Here is a 20,269-nt window from a genome sequence, read left to right on the forward strand (position 1 = left end):
AAAATATTTTCTGGCCGGGCTCACGCCTATAATCCCAGCACTTTGGGAGGCCGAGGCAGGCGGATCACGAGGTCAGGAATTCAAGACTAGCCTGACCAATATGGTGAAACCCAGTCTCTACTAAAAATACCAAAATTAGCCAGGCGTGGTGATGGGTGCCTGTAGTCCCAGCTACTTGGGAGGCTGAGGCAGGAGAATCGCTTGAACCCGGGAGGCAGAGTTGCAGTGACCCATGATTGCACCACTGCACTCCAGCCTGGGTGACAGAGCAAGACTGTCTCAAAACATATACATATTTTCTAATATATGCATAGATATGCACTTTCACAGTTTACTTGTGCTGCCCTAGTGGTTACATATAATTTTAGAATGAATGTTCCCGGCCTTCTTGGTTTATTTGAACAATGTCCTAAGATTGCAATGTGAGTGGGTTAAAGTTGTTACCTTTTGTAACTTTCTGTTTGTGTGACCAGAGATGTTTACACTATGTAACTAATGTCAAGAACTGTTAGGAGTCTGAGATTTTTACCCTACTTGCAAGCTCACAAGTTTGCTGCCACCATTTTGTGGATACTGGCAGAAAACAGAAGACCTCTGGACAAAGACAGCTCATTACTCTCAGGAAGAGCAACAGCCAGAGTATCATCAATTTTAATGAATCAATTCCCAAGCCATAGTTCTCACAGAACAGCACAGTGAGGGGCAAGTGATACCTGCACATGCAGTGGGCTGTGTGACAGCAGAGGAACCCTAAGCTTCAGGAACCTGAATATTTTATAATGGTCTTCAAGAAAACTTGCCCTCTGTCTGAGATAAGGAAGATGTTATCTTCATTATGCTGGCAGAAAACAAATCTGCCCTGTTGCTCCAGAAAGAAATACTACCTTTATCTCTTAGGTCTGTTCACTTTACAAAAATTCTTGAAAAGCTAGTCTGGAACAAAAGCTGTCAGTGCTTCTGCTTATAAGACATAAAGAAATCTGAGAGACCCATAAAGAGTTATCTTCTAACAACTACCGCAAAATGTACAAGTAAATTGGATTCCGTAGCTGATCATTGGAGTAACTGTAATTATCCTCACCAATCCTCTTATTTCTTTATTTTTTGTGTAATCAAGACTACCTTATAGGTTTCTCTGTTTAACTTTTATAAGTAAATGTCATAAACATGAAATTTGAAAATGGATTATATGAAAGATTTCAGAAAAGAAGTTAGTTTTAAAAGTTTTAAGCCTATGCTAATTTTAAAGGGCCATCATCTCTTCCCACAGGGTATTTAATAACTTTAGAACAAAATTTAAGTGGTTTTATTGTTCATGTGCAGCTTAGAGCCATGGGAAATTTTTCACCTAGAAATACATGTTTGTTAGATGCTCCTGAAATCTGTATCTTTCTTTTTTCAATTTTTTTTTAATTGAGACAGAATCTTGCTCTGTTGCCCGGGCTGGAGTACAGTGGCACAATCTTGGCTGGTTGCAATCTCTGCCTCCTGGGTTCAAGTGATTGTCTTGCCTCAGCCACCCCAGAAGCTGGGATTACAGGTGTGCATTACCACACCTGGCTAATGGTTTATTTTCAGTAGAGAGCGTTTTGCCAGGTTGGCCAGGTTGGTCTCAGAGTTCTGGCCTCAAGTGATCTGCCTGCCTCGGCCTCCCAAATTGTTGGGATTACAGGTGTGAGCCACCACACCCAGCCTGCCTGCCTGCCTTCCTTCTTTCCTTCCTTCCTCCCTCCCTCCCTCCCCGTTTCTCCCTCTCTGCCTTCCCCTCTCTCTCTCTTTCTCTTTCTCTCTTTCTTTCTCTTTCTTTCTTTTCATTGTGTTCCTTCTTGCTCTCTCTCTCTCTCTCTCTCTCTCTCTCTGTGTTTCTCTAATTTCTTTATAGGAAGCCATGCAAAGTTGTCTAGCCTGACAGGTTATTCAGATGCTTTGTAATTTGCCCATCAGGGGTCTTGGGGACTGAAGAGACTACATAAAGCAAACTCAGTGTTTTATAACTCTAAATTTCAACAAAAAGTTTATACTGTATAATTTCTCTATGTAAACAATGTCTCATAAATTATAAGTGTCATTTAAAGTATGTCAAAGAGTGTGCTTGCATGTTGCAAATAACCAGCCCTAGGTCACCTAACTTTGTTGGCTCGCTCATCTTCTGTAGCGGCAAGCTTGGTCTGCCGGGGAAGGGCCGTCTCAGGAGGCAGCCTCATGTCTAGTTTCATCCAGGTAGCTGAGCTCAGTCCTCTTTCCTCAGAGTAGAACAACTAGTCAGTGTCTACATATTTGGTTATACCAAGGGACTGGTGGTAAAATGCATGTGTGAACACAGAGCTATTGGAAAACAAGTGGTGGGAGGCAACCTCTTCACATCTATTAGTATGGCTTTTTTCGTTTTTGAGCCAGAGTCTTATTCTGTCACCCAGGCTGGAGTGCATTGGTGCGATCTCGGCTCACTGCAAACTCCACCTCCCGGGTTCAAGTGATTCTCTTGCCTCAGCCTCCCGAATAGCTGGGAGTATAAGCATGTGCCATCATGCCCGGTTTTAGTAGAGGTGGGGTTTTGCCATGTTGGCCAGGTTGATCTTGAAATCCTGACCTCAAGTGATCCGCCTGACTCAGCCTCCCAAAGTGCTGGAACTACAGGTGTGAGCCACCACACCCGGCCAGTGTGGCTATTATTTTAAACAAACAAACAAACAAAATTTGTGTTGGTGAGTAAGTGGGGAAATTAGAACCCTTGTGCATTGCTGGTGGGAATGTAAGATGGTGCAGCAGTTATGACAAATGGTATAGAAGTGTCTTAAAAAAGTAAACATGTAATTACCAGGCCAGGCGCAGTGGCTCACACCTGTAATCCCAGCACTTTGGGAGGCCGAGGCAGGCAGATCACCTGAGGTTGGGAGTTCGAGACCAGCCTGACCAACATGGAGAAACTCTGTCCCTACTAAAAATTCAAAATTATCCAAGCTTGGTGGTGCATGCCTGTAATCCCAGCTACTTGGGAGGCTGAGGCAGGAGAATCGCTTGAACGCAGGAGGTGGAGGTTGCAGTGAGCCAAGATGGCACCATTACACTCCAGCCTGGGCAACAAGAGTGAAACTCCATCTCAAACAAAACAAAACCAAGCAAAAAAAACATGTAATTACCATGATCCAGCAATCCTACTTTTGGGTATGTACCCAAAAGTAGAAAAGCAGGATCTTGAAGAGATATTGGCACACCCATATTTCTAAACAGCATTATACAGAATAGCCAAAAAGTGGAAGTAACCCAAGTGTTCACTGATGAATGAATAAACAAAATGTGATAGCCACATATAATGGAATATTATTCAGCCTTAAAAAGGAAAAATATGGCCGGGCACAGTGGCTCACGCCTGTCATCCCAGCACTTTGGGAGGCCAAGGTGGGTGGATAACCTGAGGTCAGGAGTTTGAGACCAGCCTGGCCAACTTGGCAAAACCTCGTCTCTACTGAAAATACAAAAATTAGTCGAGCGTGGTGGTGGGTGCCTGTAATCTCAGCTACTCAGGAGGCTGAGGCAGGACAATCACTTGAACCCGGGAGGTTGCAGTGAGCCGAAATCGCGCCATTGCACTCCAGCGTGGGTGACGAGTGAAACTCCGTCTCAAATTAAAAAAAGAATAATAATTTTAAAAAAAAGAAAAATTATTCTGACACATGCTTCACAACAGAGATGGACCTTGAAGACATTATGCTAGGTGGAATGAGCTCATCACAAAAGGGATAAATATTATATGATCTTACTTGTGTGAGGCACCTAGAACAGTTAATTCATAGAGATGGAAAGTAGAATGGTGGTTGCTAGGAGCAGGGGAAAGGGGGGAATAGGGAGTCATTGTTTAATGGGTTTAAAGGTACAGTTTAGGAAGATGAAAAAGTTGTGGAGAGGGATGGTGCTGATGGTTGTACACTGCTATGAGTGTACTTCGTGCTACTGAACTTAAAAATGGTTAAAATGGGGCTGGGCGTGGTGGCAGATGCCTGTAATCCCAGCACTTTGGGAGGCTGAGGTGGGTGGATCACCTGAGGTCAGGAATTCAAGACCAGCCTGACCAACATGGTGAAACCCCATCTCTACTAAATACAAAAAATTAGCCAGGCATGGTGGCATATGCTTGTAATCCCAGTTTCTTGGGAGGCTGAGGCGAGAGAATCACTTGAACCTGGGAGGCAGAGATTGCAGTGAGCAGAGATCGCACCATTGCACTCCAGCCTGGGCAACAAGAGCAAATCTCCATCTCAAAAAAAAAAAAAAAAAAAAAAAAGGTTAGAATGGTAAATTTTATGTTGTGTATATTTTACCACAATAAAAAATAAAGTAAATCAATATTTTAAAACACACAAAAAGGCAGGGAGTGGGGAACATACAGGCTTATCTTATCAGTGTACTGGCAAGCAAGAGAAAGCCAAAATGATATCTAAACAGTTGGGGCCAGATGTTTTTGATCAGAGGAGTTGAAGAGATAGCAGAGTAAGCCTGGAGATGTTGATAATGATGAAGGCAGCAAACCCAGGGCGAGTAGCCCTTACTGATGCTTATTGTATACCAAGAACTTTACAAGTATCTTCTAAAAGCTTCGTTCTAAACCAAGAAGATAAATATGGTTATTCTCCCTTTGGAAAATAGGGAAATTGAGTCTAGAGAGTTTAGCTAACTTGCCTAAATTCACACAGCTGGAAAGTGTGGGAGAGCATCTTCAAACCCTGGTTTCCAGCTCTAGGACCCATGATCTTAACTTTTTCCTTCAGTCCCAGGCAGCAACAGTAATGAACCCACTAAATAAAGATAAACGGTATGCAGCTTAATCAATTTTTAAATGAGTGGGGGAAAAAGTGTCTGTCACTTGGCTCATGCCAACTTTTTGGGTCTAGTTTTGGAAATCACATCCTTCTTACCGTTTCTTTGTAATGCCCCCCTCCCCCTGCTGTAACATATATGGCAATTTGTTAACATGCAAAACAGGCAGCCGGCCAGCTGTGCTTGCCAGAAGCCATCAGCCCTAGATTGTCATCTGCAGATTTCTAGCTCTGGCTTAGTATGTAGAAGTGACTTGATTTATTTTTTATTGATTTATTGATTGATTTTTTGAGACGGAGTCTCATTCTGCCACCCAGGCTGAAGTATGGTGGCATGATCTTGGCTCACTGCAATCTCCACCTCCTGGTGAGTTCGAGCAATTCTCCTGTCTCAACCTTGTGAGTAGTTGGGACTACAGGTGTGTGCCACCACGCCTGGCTAATTTTTGTATTTTTAGTAGAGACGGGGTTTCGCAGTGTTGTCCAGGCTGGTCACGATCTCCTGACCTCAGGCGATCTGCCCACCCTGGCTTCCCAAAGTGCTGGGATTACAGGCGTGAGCCACCGCGTCCGGCCGTGACTTGATTTAAAGGTAAATATATTGCTATTTGAATGGTAGACTGGACTCATTGATGGTGGAGATTGACTGTGCTGGCTACTTCCGCCAAGTTTTCCTAATCCTATGTAATGTCAGGGCTATGAACCAAGTTTCTGTAACACTGATTTTGCTAATCCATCTCTGTAGTAATTTTTCAACTTGATAGAATGCAGAAATCATTTAAGTTTTCTGGAGTTGAAGAAGGACATGTCAGAGTTCTTATCCTGCCCCTTATTAGCAAGACATTCAGCTTTTCTGAGTCTCTGTTTTTTCATGGGAAAATGGGAAGAAAATGCATACTTCACAGGCATATTGTGAGGACATGATAAAATCCAGTGGAGTTTCATCTAATGCAGGATATGCTAGGTTTCTAATAAACAAGGAAAAATGCAATGCATGTAGTCTAAAGTATCCTTGTGCTACCCAAGCTGCATAAAAAACACATGCCTTCCTATACTAGAATTGTATTCAGCATGGTGAGATATTCAGCTTGTATGTGGGACATTTCTGTTTGTCCTTCCAGATCCATTCTCTATCCTTTTCCAACCTGCTGTGTCCCCAAGAGGCTGACTTACATGGACGGTTTCACCGGAGTCCATTGCCCTTTGGCTTCTGGTTCAGCTCAGTCAGTGGGAGGCACTAGTAGGAAGTAGGTGGAAGGAAGGAGATTGGGGTGAGCGTATTTATTCCCCTGCTTCCTCCCTGCCATTGAAGGCCACTGTATTAGTCCATTCTCACACCGCTGTAACGAACTGCCAGAGATTGGGTAATTTATAAAGAAAAGAGGTTTAATTGACTCACAGTTCTGCATGACTGGGGAGGTCTCAGGAAACACAATCATGGCAGAAGGGGAAGCAGGCACATCTTACATGACAGCAGGTGAGGGTGAGAGAGATAGTAGGAGGAACTCTCAAACACTTATATAACCATCAGATCTCGTGAGAACTCACTCACTATCACGAGAACAGCATGGGGGAAACTGCCCCCATGATCCAGTCACCTCCCACCCAGGTCCCTCCCTCGACATGTGGGGATTATGAGGATTACAATTCGAGGTGAGTTTGGGTGGGGACGCAGAGCCAAACCACATCAGTCACGGTTACTGTCATGCAGCCCTCCCGTTAACATCTGTCCCCTTTGGGCTCTGGAAACTGGTCTCTCTCTACAATCCTGAGGCCTAAAGTTGTTAATGACCACCCCACCCCGTTCTGTCAGACCAGGAGCTTCACCGTCCTTTATAATTTCCCTTAACCCTACCCATAGCTTTGGTAGTTCCTTTATTATAAACTGTCTTTTTAATTTTTATTTTATTATTATTATTATTTTTTGAGACGGAGTCTCGTTTTGTTGCCCAGGCTGGAGTGCAGTGGCTCAATCTTGGCTCACTGCAAGCTCCGCCTCCCGGGTTCACGCCATTCTCCTGCCTCAGCCTCCCGAGTAGCTGGGACTACAGGCGCCCGCCACCATGCCCGGATAATTTTTTGTATTTTTTTTAGGAGAGACAGGGTTTCACCGTGTTAGCCAGGATGGTCTCGGTCTCCTGACCTCGTGATCTGCCCACCTCGGCCTCCCAAAGTGCTGGGATTACAGGCGTTAGCCACCGCTCTGGGCCTAAATTGTCTTTTTTATTAACCCATTTGCATAGCCTTGTTATTTCTGGCTGGGAGCCTGTGAAATCCACTTGGAAAGTGAGACGAGTTCATCTCCCATCTCCTTGAGTGGACAGGCAGGCAGAATTATCCACACTCTATAAATGGAAAAGCCACTTGCTCTTTTTGTTTTGTTTTGTTTTCTTCTGATTGTGTACTATGCATGATGTGATGGTTGAAGTTGGCACGTGATACACTTAGTGGCCACTGTTGTAAGAGCATGGAATATGGCTGGATTATAATGAATTATTTTGACATCCTTCCTCTTTGCTTCTGTATCACCTTGGGTTCCAGCACAGCAGCCATCTCAACAGGGTGATTGAGTCTTGATATTTCAGTCTGTCCAGCTTGACTATAAGCTCTCTGAGGTCATGTACCTTGAGGCCTCACACAACTTTGGTATACGTACATAGCATATGCCCCATAAATGTTCGTTGAAGACATGAATGGATAAATGATTGCATGGTAATTCTTTCTTTTCTTTTTTTTTTTTTTTTGAGACAGAGTCTTGCTGTTTCACCAGGCTGGAGTGCAATGGCACAATCTTGGCTTACTGCAACCTCCGCCTCCTGGGTTTAAGCAATTCTCCTGCCTCAGCCTCCTGAGTAGCTGGGACTACAGGTGCGCACCACCAAGCCCAGCTAATTTTTTGTATTTTTAGTAGAGACAGGGTTTAACCATGTTGGCCAGGATGGTCTCAATCTCTTGACCTCATGATCTGCCCACCTCAGCCTCCCAAAGTGCTGGGATTACAGGCGTGAGCCACTGCGCCCAGCCTATAATGAATTATTTTGACACCCTTCCTCTCTGCTTCTGTATCACCTTGGGTCCCAGCACAGCAGCCATCTCAACAGGGTGATTGAGTCTTGATGTGTCAGTCTCTCCAGCTGAACTATAAGCTCTCTGAGGTCATGCACCTTGAGGCCTCACACAACTTTGGTATACATACATAGCATATGCCCCATAAATGTTTGTTGAAGAGATGAATAGATAGATGAATGCATGGTAATTCTTAATTAGGAAAGAAATCAATAGGCAGTCCCTTCCTCCTTTTCCTAACCTGAAGAATGTTGAAATTTCAGTAAAACTAGTAGAAGATATTGATTATTCTAGGTCACTCTATTTGTGTTTATTGGTTGTGGGTTCTGATCATAAAAATTCAGAAGATAAGAATAATAATCTTAGCCATCATTTACTGAGGATTTCTATGTTCTAGGCACCTTCCTAAGTATTTTTTACATATTAGTTCATTTAATCCTTCCTACACCTCTAAGAAGAAAATATTTTCATCACCAATTTACAAATAAGGAAGGTTAATTTGAGATGGGCTAAGTAGATGCTTTCAATACTCCATTTGCTAAAGAGTGATTCTGGCCAACAGTTGCTCATGGCATAGGCTCTTCACTTTCCCACAATTCTGCATTAAAAATAAAAAAGTTAAATTCCTTGCAGTGAACCTATAGAAATTGAATGCCATGTTCAGCATGTTTTGAATCCAAGAACCCTAGCTGCCACAGAGGGTCAGTTGATTCCATCTGGAAGAGAGACTAAAACTCAGAGCCCTTCCTAGAGGAAATCCCTCTTGTTTATTTTTAAGTGTGGAGATTCTAGAGCCAATGGATGAAGGCACACGGGTCAGCGTTAGGCTGTGCTAAACGTTCTAAGACACAGACAGAGCAGCAACGGGGTTGGGGCCTTCTGAGAGAAGAGGCACGTATTGAAGTAAAAGTGGATATTTGAAGAGTGATACCAGTGGAAGGCATGGCTGGGAGGTTTTAAAGGAGGAGGATATTCTTCCATGATGAAAGGCTTTGTCCACGCAAACCAAGGCTCCCTCGGTTGGTCGGGCGCTTTGTTGTTAAGCGCAGAGATGATTCCAAGGGGTGTAGTTGCTGTATTGTTTTTCTTGCTTTGTTTGCTAAATGAAAACATCCCCGCTTAATTGCAGTCCCTTCACACAGAGCTTCGGAGGGAAAACAAAGGCATTGTTCCACCAAATGGAAAAAGGCACCAAATTGACAAAAAACATTTAATAATTTCAGACCCCCTAACAAAAGAGTGTTTCAGTCCAGAAAGAAAGAAAATCTGAATAACATTTTTAACTTTATTAAAGTTAAATTTGTAATTAAATTTTAATGATAAAGTTAAATTTATTGAAATGTAATCTCCATAAACTGAACATATCATAAGTGTGCAGCTCAATTCATTTTCACAAACTGAACATACCTGTGGAACCACCACCCAAATAGTGTTTGGTTTTTTTTTTTTTTTAATGTTCTCTGAGGCCGGGTGCAGTGGCTCATGCCTGTAATCCCAGTACTTTGGGAGGCCAAGGTGGTAGATCACTGGAGATCAGGAGTTCAACCTGACCAACATGCTGAAACCCCATGTCTACTAAAAATACAAAGTTAGCCGGGTGTGGTGGCACATGCCTGTAATCCCAGCTACTCGGGAGGTTGAGGCAGGAGGATCACTTGAACCTGGGAGGTGGAGGTTGCGGTGAGCCGAGATTGTACCATTGCACTCCAGCCTGGGCAACAAGAGCGAAACTTTGTCTCAAAAAATAAAATAAAAAAAAAAGTTCTCTGTGTTCTACCAAGGTTTAATATGCTAAACAAAATTAACTTTTGCATTGGTGTTAGTTTCTTCTAGAATATAAAACATTCTTTTAAGTAACTTAACTTCTTGGCTTTTCTCTGTTTCACCTGCCACCTGATGCTGCCCTTCTTCCCTCACCCTCTCCAGATGCCTGGAATTTGTTATTCTGGCCAGTTCAGACTGTCATCCAGCCTCTGCAAGGGTCAGCTCTGAGGGGCGTGTGTGTATGAACCTTGTATATCACTTGTTCATGCTACTTTATGCTAGGCAATATGCTAGATGCTTTAAACAGATTAGCTCTAATTTTCACAATGATTCTGTTAAGGTAAGTATTATTGTCCTCATTATGTACAAGAAGCAGCTCAGGATCATAGCACCCAACTGCAGTTTAGAAGTCCTAGGATGGCTTCCCTCCTGCCGCTACCTCTCCGGAGCCATGGATGTTCATAGGCAAGAAAGGGGGACAAGGTAATTGACCAGATCATCCCAACACCTTTTGTGTGGCTCTGGAGTACTGTTTTGTACTCATTATATTTCCTTCCTGTGCTAGGACAGATGTATTCAGAAAGAACTGTGAAGTTTTCCCTTTCAATCATATTCTGCTTTTGCAAGCCATTCCTTTCTCCTAGTCCATGCTGAGATGGTTGAGAGTCACCAAGCATCTGCCTGCACACCAGTGGCTCCTGCTTGCTGTTTCTTTTTCCCATCGACCCTAGACTGAAGTTAGTCACTGATGCTTTGGCTCTGATGAACCCCTTCTGGTTTCTAGCCAGTGGGTGAAATCATTATATATAAGAGCAGTTCCCAGCTTTCAAGAGGTTTGTTTACTTTGCTTCCTCCTGATCTTCCAAAGTGGAAATTTTGCCTTATCTTTATATTCCCAGTGACTAGCACAGGGCGGCGTATCCAGTATGTGCCTGAGACACTTGCTGAACTGAAAGCACTGTTGCCATAATGAAAGTGAAAAGGTGATGGATAATCACAGTACAAAAGGATCATTATGCTGTCATCTTTATCCTGATTGACACTCTTGAGCTCAGAATTTTTCCATGGCTATCACCTATAGGCAATGAAGCATTTCTGACCTAATCTTTACCTGCTGCCCATGCTTAGCTCCCTGTGCTTTGCTCTCCTGCCCTCCCCCATCCTCTCCCTGCCCAGTACCACATGATTTGTCCTGACCTCTCATTTGCACCATGCATTTGTACTTGCTCCTTGATCCTGTGTCCTCTCACCATCTCGAAGGACCAACTTCCATTTCTTCTTAACTTGGAACTTGAAAGTGCCCTCTGACACTTAAGTATTTCATTCTCTTGCTTCCCCTTCATCTTGTATGTACCTGTACCTCTGTTACAGCATTTATCTGTCTTGCACATAGGTTTTTTAACATTTGCTTCCCCATCTGATAGTAGGCAACTTAAGAGTAAGGGCCACGTCTTTTCATTTATGCATATCCTGGGAGACAGATGATGCTCAATAGATATTTAAATGGTCTAGGCATCATGGCAGGTGCCTGTAATCCCGCTCCTTGGGAGGCTGAGGCAGGAAAATCTCTTGAACCCAGGAGATGGAGGCTGCAGTGAGCCAAGATCGTGCCACTGCACTCCAGTCTGGGTGGCAGAGTGAGACTCTGTCTCAAAAAATAAAATAAATAAATAAAAACTAAAATAAAAATAAGAATTAAAAAATATATTTATTAAATGAATGAACAAATGAAAGTACTAAATACTGATTTTTAACAGCTTTATGAAGACATAATTCACATACCATACAATTCGCCTATTTAAAGCATATAAGTTAATTTTATACTTTTTAAAAACTTTGTTTATAGTATAATCACAGATGTATGCAACCATTACGACAGTCAATTTCAGAGCATTTTCATCACTTCAAAAAGAAACCCCTTACCCCATAGCTATCACTCCCCTATGCCTTCATCTACCCCCTCATCCCTAAGCAAACATTAATCTACTTTCTGTCTCTATACATTTCTCTATTTTTTTAATTTTAATTTTTATTTATTTTTTTTTGAGACGGAGTTTCACTCTTGTTGCCCAGGCTGGAGTGCAATGGCGTGATCTCAGTTCACTGCAACCTCCACCTCCCAGGTTCAAGCAATTCTCCTGCCCCAGCCTCCCAAATAGCTGGGATTACAGACATGCGCCACCACACACAGCTAATTTTGTAACTTTAGTAGAGACAGGGTTTCACCATGTTGCCCAGGCAGTCTCAAACTCCTGACCTCAGGTGATCCACCCGCCTTGGCCTCCCAAAGTGCTGGGATTACAGGCATGAGCCACCATGCCCGACCACATTTCTGTATTTTGATAATTTTATATCAATGGAATAATACAATGTATGGCCTTTTGTGACTGTCTTCTTTCACTTGGTATAATATTTTCAAGATTTCTCCATGTTGTAGCTTGTTTCAGTACTTCACTTCTGTTTATAGCCAACTAATTCCTTGTATGCATACACCACATTTTCAGTTTCATCAGTTGATGGACATGTGGATTGTATTTACTCTTTGGCCTTTATAAATAATATCGTTATGAACATTCATATGCAAGGTTTTCTGTGGATATATGTTTTCATTTCTCTTGGGCACATACCTAGAAGTAGAATGGCGGGATCATACAGTAACTCTGTGTTCAACGATTTGAAGAACTGTGAGACTATTTTCTGAAGTGCCTGCACCATTTCAAATTCCCACCAACAGTGTATGAGGCTTCTAGTTTATATCACTGTCAAAACTTGTTCTCTGTCTTGTTTCTATCCAACTAGCGGATATGAAATGTTATGTCATTATAGTTTTTATTTGCAGTTCCCTGATGCAAATCTTTCTATGTAATTATTGGCTAATTTTTATATTTCCTTTAGTTTATTCAGATCATTTGCCCGTTTTTATTTTTGTTTTTATTTTGAGACAGAGTCTTACTTTGTCACCCTGGCTGGAGTGCAGTGGCGTGATCTTGGCTGACTGCAACCTCCACCTCCCGGGTTCAAGCAATTCTCCTGCCTCAGCCTCCTGAGTAGCTGGGATTACAGGTGCACGCCACCATGCCCAGCTAATTTTTGTATTTTTAGTAGAGACAGGGTTTCACTATGTTGGCCCGGCTGGTCTTGAACTCCTGACCTCAGGTGATCCACCCACCTCAGCCTCCTAAAGTGCTGGGATTACAGATGCGAATCACTGCGACCAGACTGTAATCCCAGAAGAAGGGTAGTTTTAGCTTTTACATTTAGCTTTTAAATCTATTTAGGCTTATTTTTTCTGTGTAGTATGAGGTTAAGGATCCAACTTCTGTATTTTGCATGTGACTATCTAACTGTCCCTGCACCATCTGTCGAAAGGACGACCCTTTCCTCGTTATATGGCCTTGGCACCCTTGTTGAAATCAGTTGACCATAGATATACCAAAGTAGTGATTTAAAATTTGTGTTTAGATAATAATATAAAACACCTTGGTTGAATAATGAAAGCGGAGACTGCTTCTCTTGTCTTTTTATACTGCTTCCACAAATATGAGGGACAGAGAAGCCCTGCTATCACCTAACCTGTTATTATGTAGAAAGGCAGTTCCTACTGATCATTGTGTTCAATATTTTATCATTGTTTCTTTTTTTAAATTTAAATTTAATTTAATTTAATTTTTTTTGAGACGAAGTCTTGCTCTGTTGCCCAGGCTGGACTGCAGTGGTGCGATCTCAGCTCACTGCAGCCTTCACCTCCCAGGTTCAAGCAATTCTCTTGCCTCAGCCTCCTGAGTAGCTGAGATTACAGGTGTGCATCACCACACCTTGCTAATCTTTTCTTTTCTTCTTTTTCTTTTCTTTTTTGAGATGGAATCTCTCTCTGTCACCCAGGCTGGAGTGCAGTGGTGCAATCTCGGCTCATTGCAATCTCCGCCTCCCGTTCAAGCAATTCTCCTGCCTCAACCTCCCGAGTAGCTGGGATTACAGGCGTGCACCACTATGCCCAGCTAATTATTTTTGTATTTTTAGTAGAGATGGGGTTTTACCATGTTTGCCAGGCTGGTCTCCAACTCCTGGCCTCAAGAGATCTGCCCACCTCGGCCTCCCAAAGTGCTGGGATTACAGGCATGAGCGACAGCACCCTGCCATGTTTCTTATATCTTTTAAATATATTTGGCATGGTGAAGTGGCTCACACCTATAACTCCAGCACTTTGGGAGGCCAAGGTGGTAGGATTGCTTGAGCCTGGAAAGTCAAGGCTGCAGTGAGGTGTGGTCACACCACTGACGGGGTTAGACACTATCTAATATACACACACACAAACACACACACACACACACACACATCAATTTTCCCAGATTGTCATCAGTTTTCCTTCATCACTTCATCTTACCTCTCCTAAGTATCTTTATTTACTCCTCCTTTCTTTCTCTGTTTTGGTATCAATTTCTTCTATTTTCTAATAATTATGAAAGCATTCAGAATAAATAATAACCATTCCTGTCAAATGAGCCTTTATAATAGGTTTTAGAACCCAGCTTCCCTTGACATTTGTTTGAAAAGGCTCACCGAGGTTTGAATTGTTTTGAATTGAGGGTACAAGCACTTGGTTTCTCTCCTTCTTATATAATTTTGTGGTGATGAAACCATAGTTGAATGTGGCCTTTTAGGATGGCCATGGCCTGAGAATCCACACTTGGCTTCTATCTAAAGCTGATTCAGATTCTGAAAATGGCTGTTGAAGGCAACACTAAAACCCATGGGGAATGTGAAAATTACAACTTTCCAGAATATCAGTCTCTTCAGAGTGTAAAACCAACACTAAAAAGTTCTCATCTTTCTTTCAGCTAATTTGAAATAGCAAGCAAAGAGGAAGGGATTTTATTTCCAAAAACAAATAACACCCTCCATTACTGTTGCTTATGGTATTCACTTAGTTTTTAGTCAGTTGATTAGAAGATATTTGTTGAGCACCTAATGTATACCTCCTCCCTGGGCTCAGTTTTCTAAGAAATAAAAACATTTAAGACATGGTGCCTGTTCTTCAGAAAGTTCTAGTTTCACTGGAGGGATAAAAATAGTACGTAAAAATTGAGAGGAAATTCAAGCTGAGTGTGGTGGCTCACGCTGTAATTCCAGCACTTTGAGAGGATGAGATGGGTGGATTACCTGAGTCAGGAGTTCAAGACAAGCCTGGGCAACATGGCAAAACCCTGTCTACTAAAAATACAAAAATTAGCTGGGCATGGAGGCACACGCCTGTAATCCCAGCTACTGGGGAGACCGAGGCAAGAGAATTGCTTGAACCCAGGAGGTAGAGGTTGCAGTGAGCTGAGATCCACAACACTGCCCTCCAACCTGGGCGACAGAGTGAAACTCTGTCTCAAAAAAAAAGAGGAAGTCAAAGAATTTCTTTAAAAGAAAAAAAAAGAGAGGAAATTCAAAGAGAGGGCAAGACCTGTATGGATTGCTCCTTAGTTGGGATATGTTCACAGAGACCTTAGGGCTTAATCTGTCCATTTAAAATAGTCCCACTATCTCCATTGACACTTTATATGAATGACAGCCAGGCACCTTCTGCTCTTTCCGTCATGCTGGTGCAGCCCCTCACCTCCACACAGGACACAGGACTGGTCATGAAGGCCTGGAGTTGGATTTCAGCCCCTGAACCTAGGTTCCCTTGTACAGTGAACAACCTGTATTACTGTACAAGGAGCCCCTAAAGTTCCAAGATACATGTGCAGAACGTGCAGGTTTGTTACATAGGTAATAGTGTGCCATGGTGGTTTGCTGGCACCTAGGTATTAAGCCCTGCATGCACCGTGCCCTCCCACTGCTACTGGCCCCAGTATGTGTTGTTCCCCCCGGGCCGTGTCCATGTGTTCTCATTGTTCAGTTCCCACTGATGAGTGAGAACATGTGGGTTTGGTTTTCTGTTCCTGTGTTAGTTTGCTGGGGATGATGGCTTCCAGCTTCATCCATGTCCCTGCAAAGGACGTGTAGTTTCAATTTCTTCAGGGAAGTGAAAATGGGAAGAAGTGAGGGAACACCATGAGTAAGGAACCAAGGTGAGATTGAGTATGTTCTATTCAGTGTCTGATATGCAGGCTGGTGAAGGAGGGTAGAAGATCCTCGTTGTCAGACTATAAAGTACTGTTTCTTCCCTTGTTCCTCACCTTTTCCAGTATGCAGTAGTTTTACTCATAAATATTAACTGAGCAGCTGTTTATTAGTTCCAAACCAAATTATTATGAAAATTATATCAATTTAGCTATGTAACATGTGCTCTATAGACAATAGCATAGTACTTAAAAATATCAATGCTCATGTGAGCATTTCTCCCTAATTAATACTTTCTTGCTGTCAAGGCCAAGGGAAAACTTTCCCTTTCTTGCTGTTGGGGCCAAGGGAGAAAAGGCATATATATTTATGGATAGTTTTATGTGACATAGGAACCTTTAAAATGAAGACCCAAAGATACAGGGGAAATTGTCCATTTTTATGCTAGGGTTCAAGAAATTATGAACAGTTGTGTAGAAATATGACTGGAGGCTGGGCGTGGTGGCTCACGCCTGTAATCCCAGTACTTTGGGAGGCCAAGGCAGGCAGATCACTTGAGGTCAGGAGTTTGAGAACAGCCTGGCCAACATGGTGAAACCCCGTCTCTACTGAAAATACAAAAATTAGCTGGGCATGGTGGCACACGCCTATAATCCTAGCTACTTGGGAGGCTGAGGCATGAGAATCACTTAATCACTTGAATCCAGGAGGTGGAGGTTGCAGTAAGCCAAGATTGTGCCACTGCACTCCAGCCTGGGTGACAGAGCAAGACTCTGTCTCAAAAAAAAAAAAAAAGAAAGAAAGAAATATGATTGGACAAAAAGGGTATGATCTACGGTTAATAGACTCAGTGGGGAAACCCAGTAAAGCCCGTCTATCTAGATTCTTCTTGGCCTTTCTGAGCATGCATTCCTTCTGAGTGTGGGGTAAGACCCTCTCTGGAATGGGGGTCTTATGACCTACAGTCAAACAAGATAGGTCAGATAGCTTCTTTTTTTTTTTTTTTTTTCTTAAGACAGATTCTCACTCTGTCACCCAGGCTGGAGTTCAGTGGCACGATCTTGGCTCACTGCAACCTCCACCTCCCCAGTTCAAGCAATTCTCCTGCCTCAACCTCCCGAGTATCTGAGATTACAGGTGCCCACCACCACGCCCGGCTAATTTTTTGTATTTTTAGTAGAGATGGGGTTTCAACATGTTGGCCAGGCTGGTCTCAAGATCCTGACCTCAGGTGATCCACCCGCCTTGGCCTCCCAAAGTGCTGTGATTACAGGCGTGAGCCACCATGCCTGGCCAAGGTAATGGTTTTAATATTTGGGTGAATGAATAATTAACTTTTTTTTTTTTTTTGGAGACAGGGTCTCACTCTGTCATCCAGACTGGAGCACAGTGGTGCAATCACAGCTCACTGCAGCCTCAAACTCCTGGGCTCAAGTGATCCTCCCACCTCAGCCTCCTGAGCAGCTAAGACTACAGGCATGTGCCACTACACCCAACTAATCTTTTGGTATTTTTTGTTGAGATGGGGTTTTGCCATATTGCCCAGGTTGGTCTTGAATTCCTGGGCTCAAGTAATCCTCCCACCTTGGCCTCCCAAACTGCTGGGATTAAGGTGTGAGCCAGCATGCCCAGTCTGTTTTGCTTTTAAAAATAATTGATCATATTAACACATGACTTGTTTTTTAAAGCTCTCTTTCTAAATTCTGAAGCATCTTTTTGACCTAAGCCCCACAGGCCATTTTGTCTCCCTCCCTGGCTTTTGCTCCTGTACATCATTCACATCTATTCCCAGGTTACACAGGGCCTCCTCAGCTCTTTTGAATTTTTTTTCCCAGTGTACAAGGAGATCGCTATCAGCTTATTTCTATTCTTGTACTGGCCCCTAAATGTAGTAGTTCCTTCTATTGTAGTGCTGCCTTCCCTCTAGGTTAATACGGGTCTGGGAAATCTGAGTCAGATATAGATCCAGGAAAGGTGGAAATCAGCTCACATGCACAAGCAAAACCTGGTGAGTGCTTGCAGCAGGCAAATATTGGTGTGTGTGTGTGTGTGTGTGTGTGTGTGTTTTGAGACAGTCTTGCTCTGTTGCCCAGACTGGAGTGCAGTGGCACAATCTTGGCTCACTGGAACCTCCGTCTCCTGGGTTCAAGCGATTCTCCTGCCTCAGCCTCTTGAGTAGCTGGGATTACAGGTGCCCGCCACCACACTTGGCTAATTTTGTATTTTTAGTAGAGACAGGGATTTGCCATGTTGGCCAGGATGGTCTTGAACTTCCAACCTGAGGTGATCTAACCACCTCGGCCTCCCAAAGTGCTGGGATTACAGGCATGAGCCACTGCACCCGGCCTCTATGATTGAATTTTAAGAGTTATTATGTTCTGGATGCAAATCTGTTATTAGACATAGTCTTTGCAAATATTTTCTCCCATTCTGTTCTTGATGGTATTGTTTGTAGCACAAAAGTTTTTAATTTTGAAATAGTCCAATTTGTCTATTTCTCTGTTATGTTGCTTGTGCTTTTGGCCTCCTATCTAAGAAAACATGCCTAATCCAAGCCTATGGAAACTTGCTACTTACGTTTTCTTTCAAACATAGGAGTTTTATAATTTTAGCTCTTAATGTTTAGTTCCATAATCCATTTTGACATAATTTTTTTCCTTTCTTTTTTTTTTTGAGTCAAAGTTTCGCTGTTATTGCCCAGGCTGGAGTGCAATGGTGTGATCTTGGCTCACCGCAACCTCTCCCTCCTGAGTTCAAGCGATTCTCCTGCCTCAGCCTCCCAAGTAGCTGGGATTACAGGCATGTGCCACCACGCCCAGCTAATTTTGTATTTTGGGTAGAGACGGGGTTTCTCCATGTTGGTCAGGTTGGTCTCGAACTCTTGACCTCAGGTGATCCACCCACCTTGGCCTCCCAAAGTGCTGGGATTACAGGTGTGAGCCACTGCACCCTGCTGACATAATTTTTATATAAGGCATGAGGTATATATTAAAAACCACTGAATTGTACGTGTTAAATAGGTTAATTGTATGGTATGTGAATTATCTCTGAGTAAAGCTGGAAGAAGAAGGAAGGGGAGGGTGCGGGAGAAGAGAAGGAGAAGAACTCATCTTGGCAGCATCTGCTTCCTCTTTCTTGAGCCCCGCATCACCAGGTCCAGACTTCCTTACTGGAGAGAGGCTATTTTGAGGGGTACCGCAGAGCCAACGATCCACTTCTGGCCATCATCTGCATGTAATTGTGAGTGATCCCAAGCTAGAGTCATAGAGGAGCTGCCCAGGTGAACCCCAGACAATGCATACAATACTAACATATAATTAAATGATGGTTATTTTAAGCCACCAAGTTTGGGAGTAGCTTGTCATATGGCAAAAATAATTGCAACAAGTAGTAAGTCAAACTCTTGCTTTAACATTGCGACTACATATTAATCCTAAAATAAAATCCCACGAAAGGCGTGGTCTTCAAAATAAGAACCTGGATGGGGACATTAGTTGATTATAAGGGGAAGTGAAATAAGGAAGCGCTAAGGCTGGTGGAGCATGTTGTAAATGGCAAGTTGATCCAATCCAGGCAGGCATGCCAGCTGGCCTCAGTCCTAAAGCTCACACTGGCAGAAGCAGCTAACCAGTCACTTGTCCAGAGGCCACCAGATACTTAGTAGGAGCTCTAGAGGGCTGGCAGGTCATGTTTCTAGTTACAAGAAATGACACAAGTTAACCCCATCCACTGGCCCTCCCCATTCCCTGAAAGGAAATTCACTGAACTGGAAGGGACAGAGTGGTCAGAACCAGGGATAAAGGCCAGGAGTCTGTGTCTGTGTCTTAAATGGAGACTATCAATAGTGCCAAAGTCTCTTGATTATCTCCACACAGGTCTCCTTTTTTTTTTTTTTTTTTAAGAGACAGGGTTTTTTGTTTTTTTTTTTTGTTTTTTTTTTTTTAGATGAAGTCTCATTCTGTCACCCAGGCTGAAGTGCAATGTCACAATCTCAGCTCACTGTAACGTCTGCCTCCTGGGTTCAAGTGATTCTCCTGCCTCAGCCTCCCAAGCAGCTGGGATTATAGGCACCCACCACCACACCCAGCTAATTTTTTTGTGTTTTTAGTAGAGACGGGGTTTCACCCTGTTGGTCAGGCTGATCTTGAACTCCTGATCTCAGGTGATCTACCTGCCTTGGCCTCCCAAAGTGCTGGGATTACAGGCATGATTCACTGTCCCTGGCCAGAGACAGGGTCTTGCTGTGTCATCCAGGCTGGAGTGCAGTGGCACAATCATAGCTCACTGCAACTTTGAACTCCTGGGCTCAAGGGATCTTCCTGCCTTAGCCTCCCAAAGTGCTGGGATTGCAGGTGGGAGTGAGCAACTGCACCCAGCTTGGGGTTGTTTTTAGTATATACTTGGATAATGATGTATAGCAGGAGAATGCATATAATTAAATTTAATTTATTCACTTAGCTTTTTGAAAACCTACTGTGCTAGGAAAAAACTGTGAACCACATAGACAGGGACTCTGGTCTCAAAAAGCTTCTAATCAAGTGAGCAAGTAATTCCCCTAGGCTTCGAGAGGGACC

The 20,269-nt window shown here is 43.1% G+C and overlaps 1 protein-coding gene across 2 annotated transcripts in view, besides 1 other annotated feature; it reads left to right on the forward strand.

Annotated features, from left to right (window-relative positions):
* Nucleotides 1-20,269, forward strand: part of DEPTOR (DEP domain containing MTOR interacting protein) — a 177,197-nt gene that overhangs the window by 63,394 nt on the left and 93,534 nt on the right. The gene's annotated exons all lie outside the window — the stretch shown is intronic.
* Nucleotides 15,448-15,527: an enhancer, noted in NCBI's record as "active region_27848". NCBI's record gives its function as "activates an Ori minimal core promoter by ATAC-STARR-seq in GM12878 lymphoblastoid cells {active_cell/tissue: GM12878}" and the evidence as "EXISTENCE:reporter gene assay evidence [ECO:0000049][PMID:35858748]".

Source organism: Homo sapiens, chromosome 8, assembly GCF_000001405.40.
Source record: "Homo sapiens chromosome 8, GRCh38.p14 Primary Assembly".
NCBI lineage: Eukaryota > Metazoa > Chordata > Mammalia > Primates > Hominidae > Homo > Homo sapiens.